This window comes from Homo sapiens, chromosome X, assembly GCF_000001405.40.
Source record: "Homo sapiens chromosome X, GRCh38.p14 Primary Assembly".
Classification (NCBI taxonomy): domain Eukaryota; kingdom Metazoa; phylum Chordata; class Mammalia; order Primates; family Hominidae; genus Homo; species Homo sapiens.
In genome coordinates, this window is record NC_000023.11 from 73,062,686 (window position 1) to 73,075,165 (window position 12,480).

Below are 12,480 nucleotides of genomic sequence, written 5' to 3' on the forward strand. Positions count from 1 at the left end.
ATGCCCACAAGAGAAAGCAGGAAAGATCCAAAATTGACACCCTAACATCACAATTAAAAGAACTAGAAAAGCAAGAGCAAACACATTCAAAAGCTAGCAGAAGGCAGGAAATAACTAACATCAGAGCAGAACTGAAGGAAACAGAGACACAAAAAACCCTTCAAAAAATTAATGAATCCAGGAGCTGGTTTTTTGAAAGGATCAACAAAATTGATAGACTGCTAACAATACTAATAAAGAAGAAAAGAGAGAAGAATCAAATAGATGCAATAAAAAATGATAAAGGGGATATCACCACCGATCCCACAGAAATACAAACTGCCATCAGAGAATACTACAAACACCTCTATGCAAATAAATTAGAAAATCTAGAAAAAGTGGATAAAATCCTGGACACATACACCCTCCCAAGACTAAAGCAGGAAGAAGTTGAATCTCTGAATAGACCAATAAGAGGCTCTGAAATTGTGGCAATAATCAATAGCTTACCAACCAAAAAGAGTCCAGGACCAGATGGATTCACAGCCGAATTCTACCAGAGGTACAAGGAGGAACTGGTACCATTCCTTCTGAAACTATTCCAATCAATAGAAAAAGAGGGAATCCTCCCTAACTCATTTTATGAGGCCAGCATCATCCTGATACCAAAGCCGGGCAGAGACACAACCAAAAAAGAGAATTTTAGACCAATATCCTTGATGAACATTGATGCAAAAATCCTCAGTAAAATACTGGCAAACTGAATCCAGCAGCACAACAAAAAGCTTACCCACCATGATCAAGTGGGCTTCATCCCTGGGATGCAAGGCTGGTTCAATATACACAAATCAATAAATGTAATCCAGCATATAAACAGAACCAAAGACAAAAACCACATGATTATCTCAATAGGTGCAGAAAAGGCCTTTGACAAAATTCAACAATGCTTCATGCTAAAAATTCTCAATAAATTAGGTATTGATGGGATGTATCTCAAAATAATAAGAGCTATCTATGACAAACTCACAGCCAATATCATACTGAATGGGCAAAAACTGGAAGCATTCCCTTTGAAAACTGGAACAAGACGGGGATGCCCTCTCTCACCACTCCTATTCAACATAGTGTTGGAAGTTCTGGCCAGGGCTATCAGGCCAGAGAAGGAAATAAAGGGTATTCAATTAGGAAAAGAGGAAGTCAAATTGTCCCTGTTTGCAGATGACATGACTGTATATCTAGAAAACCCCATTGTCTCAGCCCAAAATCTCCTTAAGCTGATAAGCAACTTCAGCAAAGTCTCAGGATACAAAATCAATGTACAAAACCCACAAGCATTCTTATACACCAATAACAGACAGACAGAGAGCCAAATCATGAGTGAACTCCCAATCACAATTGCTTCAAAGAGAATAAAATACCTAGGAATCCAACTTACAAGGGATGTGAAGGACCTCTTCAAGGAGAACTACAAACCACTGCTCAATGAAATAAAAGAGGGTACAAACAAATGGAAGAACATTCCATGCTCATGGGTAGGAAGAATCAATATCATGAAAATGGCCATACTGCCCAAGGTAATTTATAGATTCAATGCCATCCCCATCAAGCTACCAATGACTTTCTTCACAGAATTGGAAAAAACTACTTTAAAGTTCATATGGAACCAAAAAAGAGCCTGCATCGCCAAGTCAATCCTAAGCCAAAAGAACAAAGCTGGAGGCATCACACTACCTGACTTCAAACTATACTACAAGACTACAGTAACCCAAACAGCATGGTACTGGTACCAAAACAGAGATATAGATCAATGGAATAGAACAGAGCCCTCAGAAATAACACCACATATCTACAACTATCTGATCTTTGACAAACCTGAGAAAAACAAGCAATGGGGAAAGGATTCCCTATTTAATAAATGATGCTGGGAAAACTGGCTAGCCATATGTAGAAAGCTGAAACTGGATCCCTTCCTTATAGCTTATACCAAAATCAATTCAAGATGGATTAAAGACTTAAACTTTAGACCTAAAACCATAAAAACCCTAGAAGAAAACCTAGGCATTACCATTCAGGACATAGGCATGGGCAAGGACTTCATGTCTAAAGCACCAAAAGCAATGGCAACAAAACTCAAAATTGACAAATGGGATCTAGTTAAACTAAAGAGCTTCTGCACAGCAAAAGAAACTACCATCAGAGTGAACAGGCAACCTACAAGATGGGGGAAAATTTTCGCAACCTACTCATCTGACAAAGGGCTAATATCCAGAATCTACAATGAACTCAAACAAATTTACAAGAAAAAAACAAACAACCCCATCAAAAAGTGGGCAATGGTCATGAAGAGACACTTCTCAAAAGAAGACATTTATGCAGCCAAAAAACACATGAAAAAATGCTCACCATCACTGGCCATCAGAAAAATGGAAATCAAAACCACAGTGACATACCTTCTCACACCAGTTAGAATGGCAATCATTAAAAAGTCAGGAAACAACAGGTACTGGAGAGAATGTGGAGAAATAGGAACACTTTTACACTGTTGGTGGGACTGTAAACTAGTTCAACCATTGTGGAAGTCAATGTGGCGATTCCTCAGGGATCTAGAACTAGAAATACCATTTGACCCAGCCATCCCATTGCTGGGTATTTACCCAAAGAACTATAAATCAGGCTGCTATAAAGACACATGCACACGTATGTTTATTGCGACACTATTCACAATAGCAAAGATTTGGAACCAACCCAAATGTCCAACAATGATAGACTAGATTAAGAAAATATGGCACATATACACCATGGAATACTATGCAGCCATAATAAATGATGAGTTCATGTCCTTTGTAGGGACATGGATGAAACTGGAAATCATAATTCTCAGTAAACTATTGCAAGAACAATAAACCAAACACTGCATATTCTCACTCATAGGTGGGAATTGAACAATGAGAACACATGGACACAGGAAGGGGAACATCACACTCTGGGGACAGTTGTGGGGTGGGGGGAGGGGGGAGGGATAGCTTTAGGAGATATACCTAATGCTAAATGACGAGTTAATGGGTGCAGCACACCATCATGGCACATGTATACATATGTAACATTGTGCACATGTACCCTAATATTTAAAGTATAATAATAATAAAATAAAATAAAATAATAAAAAATAAAAAAATTAAAGAAAATAAATCATTAAAATGGCAGGTGTAAATCCAATTCTTTCAATAATAAAATTAAGTTTGAATAGATTAAACAATGTAATCAAAAGGCAGAGATAATGAAATGAGATTTTAAAAAGCAAAATACAGTTATATATTTTCTACAGGAGTCACACTTTAGATTGAAAGATATAAATAAATTTAAAGAAAGCATAAGTAGTATGCAGTGGCTATACTAATATGCAAAATTGACTTAAAGTAAAAATATTGCTGTGATAAGGGGAGATATTGTAATGAAATATGTTTTACTACCTCAGGAAGAAATAAAATTATAATACATGCATCTAACAACACAGGCTTAAAACAAATAAAGCGAAAACTAAGATAAATTAAAGGGAGAGATATAAAATTCAACAACAATAGCGGGCAACTTCAATGCATCATTTTCTGTAATGGATAGGCACAACTACCAGGCAGAGATCAACAGTGAAATAGAAAACTTGAAATGCACTATAAAACAACTAGACCAAACAGACATCTAGGGAACATCCCACCTAATAGGAGAACAAACATATTTTTCAACTGCACATGGAACATTCTCCAAGGTAGACCATATTTTAGAGCATTAAACAAACCACACAAATTAACATAGTTGAAATTACACAGTGTATATACTCCAAATAAGATTAAATAAAAATAGAAATCAATAGCCTAGGGAAATTTGGAATTTTCATAAATATATGAAAATTGAACAATATACTGATAAAAACCCACTGAGTCAAAGCAAAAATCACAAGGGAAATTATAAGATATTTTGAGATGAATGATAAGGAAAATACATTACTCCAAACATGGGACGCAGCTAAAGCAGTTCTTAGAGGGAAACTGATAGCTGTAAATGCCTATATTAAGATAGAAGATCCTAATGTAATAACTTGAACTTCCACTTAATAAACTAGAAAAAGAGGAGCAAACTAATGTTAAATCAAGTAGAAGAAAGGAAATAATAAAAGATTACAGAAGATATTAAGATATTAATGAAATAGCAGCAAAACAAAGAGAAAAATCAATAAACCCTAAAATTGGTTGTTTGAAGAGATCAACAATATTGACAAACATTTAGCTAAAATGACCAAGAAAAAAGTGAGAAGAATCAAATTAATAAAATTAGGAATGAAGAAAAGCATATAGAAAGTAACTTTACAAACATGAAAAGGACTGTAAGGGAAAGCTATGAACAATAGTATGCCAATGTATTAGATCACTTACATGAAATGGAATAACTCGTTCAAAGCCACAAACTACTGAGATTGACTCAAAACATAACCTAAAATCTGAATGGATCTACAATAAATAAAGAGGTTGTATTAGTACACAAAATCTTTAAAACTCTCTTCTAAGAAAAGCCCAGACCCAGATGGCTTCATAGGTTAATGCTACCAATCACTTACAGAAAAGTTAATACCGCTCCCTCTCCCCCTCCCGCTCCCGCTCCCTCTCCCTCTCCCTCTCCCTCTCCCTCTCCCTCTTTCTACGGTCTCCCTCTCTTGCGGAGCCTGGACTGTACTGCCATGATCTCGGCTCGCTGCAACCTCCCTGCCTCGGGCTCCGGTGATTCTCCTGCCTCGGCCTGCTGAGTGCCTGGGATTCCAGGTATGCACCGCCACTCCTGACTGGTTTTTGTATTTTTGGTGGAGACGAGGTTTCGTCGTGTTGACGGGGCTGGTCTCCAGCTCCTCGCCTCAGGTGATCTGCCCGCCTCGGCCTCCTGAGGTGCTGGGATTGCAGACGGAGTCTCACTCACTCAATGCTCAATGTTGCCCAGGCTGGAGTGCAGTGGCGTGATCTCGGCTCACTACAACCTCCACCTCCCAGCCGCCTGCCTTGGCCTCCCAAAGTGCTAAGATTACAGCCTCTGCCCATCTGCCACCCCATCTAGGAAGTGAGCAGCATCTCTGCCTGGCTGCCCATCGTCTGGGTTGTGAGGAGCCCCACTGCCCAGCCGCCCCGTCTGGGAAGTGAGGAGTGCCTCTGCCTGGCCACCACCCCATCTAGGAAGTGAGGAGCGTCTCTGCCTGGCCGCCCATCATCTGGGTTGTGAGGAGCCCCTCTGCCTGGCTGCCCCATCTGGGAAGTGAGGAGCGCCTCTGCCCGGCCGCCCCGTCTGGGAGGAAGTGAGGAGCACCTCTGCCTGGCTGCCCCGAATGAGAAGTGAGGAGCGCCTCTGCCTGGCCGCCCCCTCTGGGAAGTGAGGAGCACCTCTGCCCAGCCGCCACCCTGTCTAGGAAGTGAGGAGCGTCTCTGCCTGGCTGCCCATCGTCTGGGATGTGAGGAGCCCCTCTGCCTGGCCGCCCCATCTGGGAAGTGAGGAGTGCCTCTGCCCGGCCTCCACTCCGTCTATGAAGTGGGGAGCATCTCTGCCCAACCGCCCATCATCTGGGAGGTGAAGAGCACCTCTGCCCAACCGCCCCGTCTGGGATGTGAGGAGCGCCTCTGCCCGGCCATCCCATCTGGGAAGTGAGGAGCGCCTCTGCCTGGCTGCCCAGTCTGGGAGGAAGTGAGGAGTGCCTCTGCCCAGCCATCCCATCTGGGAAGTGAGGAGCACCTCTGCCTGGCTGCCCAGTCTGGGAGGAAGTGAGGAGTGCCTCTGCCCGGTTGCCCCAAATGGGAAGTCAGGAGCGCCTCTGCCCAACCACCCCATCTGGGAAGTGAGGAGCGCCTCTGCCCGGCCTCCCCGTCTGGGAGGTGAGGAGCGCCTCTGCCCAGCCGCCCCGTCTGGGAGGTGAGGAGCACCTCTTCCCGGCCACCCCATCTGGGAGGTGAGGGGCATCTCTGCCTGGCTGCCACCCTATCTGGGAAGTGAGGAGCACCTCTGCCTGGCCACCACCCTGTCTGGGAGGTGAGGGGCGTCTCTGCCTGGAGGCCCCGCCTGGGAAGTGAGGGGTCCCTCTCCCAGCCCCCCTTCATCTGAGAGGTGGGGAGTGCCTCTGCCCGGCTGCCCCATCTGGGAAGTGGGCACCTCTGCCCGGCCGCCCCGTCCAGGAGGTGAGGGGCGCCTCTGCCCGGCTGCCCCGCCTGGGAGGTGAGGAGCACCTCTGAACGGCTGCCCTTTGTCTGGGAGGTGGGGAGTGCCTCTGCCCAGCCGCCCCGTCTGGGAAGTGGGCGCCTCACCCGGCTGCCCCATCGGGAGGTGAGGGGCGCCTCTGCCCGGCCGCCCCATCTGGGAGGTGAGGGGCGTCTCTGCCTGGCCGCCCCATTTGGGAAGTGAGAGGCGTCTCTGCCCGGCCACCCCGTCTGGGAGGTGGGGAGTGCCTCTGCCTGGCTGCCCCATCTGGGAAGTGGGCGCCTTTGCCTGGCCACCCCATCCGGGAGGTGAGGGGCACCTCTGCCCGGCCGCTCCGTCTGGGAGGTGAGGGGTGCCTCTGCCCGGCCACTCCGCCTGGGAGGTGAGGAGCGCCTCTGCCTGGCCACCCCACCCGGGAGGTGAGGGGTGCCTCTGCCCGGCCCCCCTTTATCTGGGAGGTGGGGAGCGCCTCTGCCCGGCTGCCCTATCTGGGAAGTGGGCACCTCTGCCCGGCTGCCCCGTTTGGGAGGTGAGGGGCATCTCTGCCCGGCCACCACACCATCTGGGAGGTGAGGAACGCTTCTGCCCAGCCGCCCCATTTGGGAGGTGAGGGGCGTCTCTGCCCGGCCACTGCCCCATCTGGGAGGTGAGGAGCGCCTCTGCATGGCCGCCCCGCCTGGGAGGTGAGAAGCACCTCTGCCTGGCCGCCCTTCATCTGGGAGGTGGGGAGTGCCTCTGCCCAGCTGCCCCGTCGGGGAAGTGGGCGCCTCTGCCCGGCTGCCCCGTCTGGAAGGTGAGGGGCATCTCTGCCTGGCCTCCCCATCTGGGAGGTGAGGAGCACCTCTGCCCGGCCACCCCGTCTGGGATGTGGGGAGTGCCTCTGCTCAGCCACCCTGTCTGGGAAGTGAGGAGTGCCTCTGCCCGGCTGCCCATCGTCTGGGATGTGAAGAGCACCTCTGCCTGGCCGCCACCCCGTCTGGGAGGTGAGGAGCGCCTCTGTCTGGCCGCCACCCCATCTGGGAAGTGAGATGCGCCTCTCCCCGGCCGCCCTGTCTGGGAAGTGAGAGCACGTCTGCCCAGCCGCCCTGTCTGGGAAGTGAGGAGCGCCTCTGCCAGGCCGCCCCATCTGGGAAGTGTACCTAACAGCTCTGAAGAGACAGCGACCATCAAGAATGGGCCATGATTACGATGGCAGTTTTGTCGAAAAGAAAAGGGGCAAATGTGGGGAAAAGAAAGAGAGATCAGATTGTTACTGTGTCTGTGTAGAAAGAAGTAGACATAGGAGACTCCATTTTGTTCTGTACTAAGAAAAATTATTCTGCCTTGGGATACTGTTAATCGATAACCTTACCCCCAACTCCGTGCTCTCTGAAACATGTGCTGTGTCAACTCAGGGTTAAATGGATTAAGGGTGGTGCAAGATGTGCTTTGTTAAACAGATGCTTGAAGACAGCATGCTCGTTAAGAGTCATCACCACTCCCTAATCTCAAGTACCCAGGGACACAAACAGGGCCGAAGGCTGCAGGGACCTCTGCCTAGGAAAACCAGTGACCTTTGTTCTTGTGTTTATCTGCTGACCTTCTCTCCACTATTATCCTATGACCCTGCCATATCCCCCTCTCTGAGAAACACCCAAGAATGATCAATAAATACTAAAAAAAAAGATATAAAATTTAAGAATAATAATAATAAAATAAAATAAAAACAAAAAAAAAGAAAAGTTAATACCAAATTATTACAATATTTTCCAGAAAACAGAAAGGAAGAAAACACTTCCCAATTATTTTATTAGGCCAATATTATCCTGATAACAAAACCAAACAAGATATCACAAGAAGACTACAAAACAATATGTCTTATGAATGTAGACATATTTATATACTCATTTCTTTAGGAAAAAAACCCTCAACAAAATAGTAGCAAAACCCAGAGTTCACAACATGGTGAAGCAGAAACTCTCCTTTCCCCAACAAACACACCAATTGAGCATGAATTAATGGACAAATTTCCTTTTTGAGAAACCAAAAACTAATTGAAAAGTTTCTACACCCCAGGAGAACATGGAATCAGTTTCATTGAAGTGGGAAGGATCACATTACCTGACTTCAAATCATACTGCAAACTATGTTAACCAAATCAGCATAATACTGGCATAAAAACAGACACATAGACCAATGGAAGAGAATAGAAAACCCAGAAATAAATTCACACATTTCCAATCAATTCACTTTTGCCATAGGTGCCAAGAACATACATTGGGGAAAGGACAATCTCTTCAATAAATGGTGCTGTGAAAACCAAATATTGACATGCAAAAGAATAAAATTGCATCTTTATCTTATACCATACACAAAAATCAACTAGAAATGACTTAAAACAAGACCTGAAACTGTAAAACTCTTATAAGAAAACATAAGAAAAAAGCTTCATGACTTTGGTCTTGGCAATGATTTCATGGATATAACACCGAAAGCACAGGCAATAAAAATATAAAACAAAAAGTGGGACTACATCAAGCTAAAAAGATTTTTGAACAGCAAAGGAAACAATAGAGTGAAAATGCAATTTACAGAATGAGAGAAAATATTTGCAAACCTTACATTTGATAAGGGGTTGATTCACAAAATATATAAGTAACACCTACAGCTCAATTGTAAAGGAACCTGTAACTGAATTTAAAAACGGGCTAAGAATTTGAATAGATGTTTTTTCAAAAGACATACAAATGGCCAACATGTATATGAAAAAGTAATAACATATCTAATCATCCAGGAAATGCAAACCAAAACCACAGTGAAGTGTTGCTTCACACCTGTCAGGATGGATATTATCAAAAAACAGAAGACAATGATATTGGCAAAGATGTGGGGAAAAGAAAACACTTGCACACTGTTGGTAGGAATGCAAAACAGTACAGCTGCTAGGGAAAATAATATGGAGGTTTCTTGCAAAATTAAAAATAGAACTACCATATGATCCAGCAATTCCACTTCTGATATTTATCCAAAAAACTTGAAATCAGGATCTCTAAGGTAAATTAACACTCCTATGTTCATTGAAGCATAATTCACAATAGCAAATATGGGCGAACAACCTCAATGTCCATCGATGGATGAATGAATAAAGAAATGTGGTATATACATGAAATGGCATACTATTCCGTCTTAAAAACACACACAAAATTCTGTAATATGTGACAACATAAATGAATCTTGAGGACATTACGCTAAGTGAAATAAGCCAGTGACTGAAAGACAAATACTGCATGATTCTACTTGTATGAGGTATCTAAAATAGTCAAATTAATAGAATCAAAGAGTGATATGGTTGTTGCCAGGGGCAGGAGTGTGGGAAAATGGAATCAATGGGCATAAAGTTTCAGTCAAGCATGATGAATAAGCTCTTGAGATGTGCTTGCATAGCATCATATCTATAGTCAACAATAATGTATTGTACATTTAAAATTTTTGTTAAGAGAGCAGAACTCATGTTTTGTGTTCTCACCACAATTAAAAATACTTTCTCATAAAATGTGGTACATACATACAACAAAATATTCTTCCACCTTAAAAAATGAAATTCTGATGAATGCTACAACATGGAGGAACCTTGAAGAGGTTATGCTAAGTGACATAAGTCAGACACAAAAGAACAGATATTGTGTGATTCCATTTGTATGACCCACCTAGAATTGTCAATTTTTTCAGACAGAATGGCAGAATAGTGTTTACCAGGGGCTGGGGCAAGGGAGGAATACGGAATAGGTAGTTACTTTTTAGTCGGCACAGAGTTTCAGTTTGAGATGATGAAAGAGTTTGGGAGATATGTAGTAGTGAATGTTGCACAGCATTGTGAATGTACTTAATACCACTGAACTTGACAAATGGTTTACATGGTGAATTTCACGTTATGGCATACCTGACCACAACAATGTTTAGATTAAAAATACTAGCGTACTGAATTCAATAATACATAAAGACGATTATACATTACCAAACAGAATTTATCCAAGGAATTATACATTGTTTTTATATCTGAAAATTACTTAATGTTATATACCAGATCATTAGAACAATGGGGGAAAAACTCACAAGGATTATCTCAGCAAATCCAGAAAAAGCATTTGGTAAAATCTAAAACTCTTTTATAACACTCAGTAATTCAGGAATAGATGAGTACCTCCTCAATCTGAAAAAAAGATCTACAAAAACCCCACAGTAAGCATCATACTTAATGGTGAAAGACTTAGTACTTTTCCCCCAACATTGGGAACAAGACATAGATATTCATTTTCACCACTTTTATTTAACATCGTATTTGGATTTTCTAGCTAAGGTCATTAGGCAAGAAAATGAAATAACATGCAGCCAGACTGGAAAGAAAGAATTAAAACTACTTCTATTCACAGATGATGTGATCTTTTTTCACTTAATTGAGATGTGATTGTGAAATAAACTTGTATATATTCAAGGTGTACTAGCTGTTGTTTTGATATGTGTATGTGTTGTGAAATGATTACCACAATCAAGCTTATAACATACTCATCACCTCACACAATTTTTATTTTGTGGTGAGAATACTTAAGATCTACTATCTGAGAAAATTTCGAGTATACTATAGATTATTATGAACTATAGTCACCATGCTATACTTTAGGTCTGCAGAACTTACTCACCTCATAACTGCAAATTTGTACATTTTGACCAACATCCCATTTCCCCCAACCCTGCCACCAACCCCTGGTAACCACCCTTCTCTCTATTTCTATGAGTTCAACTTTTTTAGATTCCACATATAAGTGAGATCACACAGTATTTGTCTTTTAGTGCCTGGATTATTTCACATAGAATAATGTGCTTCAGGTTCATCCATGTTGTCAGAAATAACAGACTTTCCTTCTTTCATAGGCTGAATAATATTCCATTGTGTATACACACCACATTTTCTTTATTCTTTTGCTGATGGACACTTAGGTTGTTTCTTTATTTTGTCTATCGTGAATAATGCTGCATTTAACATGGCATTGTAGATGCCTCCTCCAGATAGTGATTTTCTTTCCTTTGGATGTATACTCAGAAGTGAGACTTCTGGATTATATGGTAGTTCTATTTTTAATTTTTTCAGGAAACTACATACTGTTTTCCATAATGGTTGCACTCACTTTCATTCTTACCAACAATGTGTAAGGATTCCCTTTTATCCACATCCTTGCCAACATTTGCTATCTTTTCCCTTTTTGAAAATAGACATCCTAAAGGTGTGAGGTGTTATCTCATTGTGAATTTGACTTGCATCTCCCTGATGCTGATGATTAGTGGTGTTGAGCATCTTTACATGTACTTGTTGGTGATTTATAAGTCTTCCTTGGAAAAATGTCCATTTAGGTCTTTTGCCCATTTTTAATTCAGGTTGTTTTGTTTCATTTTGTTTTGTTTTTTATGCTATTGAATTGTGTGAGTTCCTTATATATTTTGGATATTAACTCCATATTGGATATATGTTTTCCAAATTTTTTTCATTCCTTAGGTTGCCTTTTCGTTTTTTTTTATTTTATGCTGCATAGAAACTTATTAATGTGAAGTATTCCCACTTGTTTATTTTTGCTTTTATTGTCTATGCTTTAGGTGTCATGTCCATGAAATCATTGCCAAGACCAAAGCAGTTTCCCTCTATGTTTTCTTCTGAGAGTTTTATGGATTCAGGTCTTATGTTTAAATCTTTAGTCTATTTTGAGTTGATTTTTCTGTATGGTGTAACATAAGCATCCAAGATTTTTGCATTCACATATCCAGTTTTCCCAACACCATTTATTGAAGAGGCTATCCTTTTTCTGTTGTGTATTCTTTGTGCCTTTATTGATGATTAGTTGACCATATATGCCTAGGTTTTTTTTTCTGTCTATTCTGTTCCACTGGTCTATGTGTCTGTTTCTATGCCAGTATCATACTGTTTTGATTACTATAGCTTTGTAATAACATGATTTTATATAGAAAATCCTAGAAAATTCAGCAAATATATATTAGAACTAATAAATGACTTCAGCAATGTTGCAAGATACAAGGTCAATATACAGAAATCTATTATACTTCTGTACAGTAGCAATGAGCAAACCAAAACTGAAATTAAGAAATCAATTCTTTTTACAATAGCATCAAAAGAGTTAAATACTTAAAAAATTTAACCCAGTAATTGCGAACTGCTACTCTGAAAACTACAAATCGTTGTTGAAAGAAAAATGTTCTATACAAAGACAATCCATGTTCATAAGTTGGAAAACA

The 12,480-nt window shown here is 41.8% G+C and overlaps 1 annotated feature.

The window, feature by feature from the left end:
- Nucleotides 5,644-5,855: a silencer, noted in NCBI's record as "fragment chrX:72288168-72288379 (GRCh37/hg19 assembly coordinates)". NCBI's record gives its function as "represses an EF-1alpha promoter that drives an FKBP-Casp9 reporter gene in an ReSE screen in K562 erythroleukemia cells {active_cell/tissue: K562}" and the evidence as "EXISTENCE:reporter gene assay evidence [ECO:0000049][PMID:32094911]".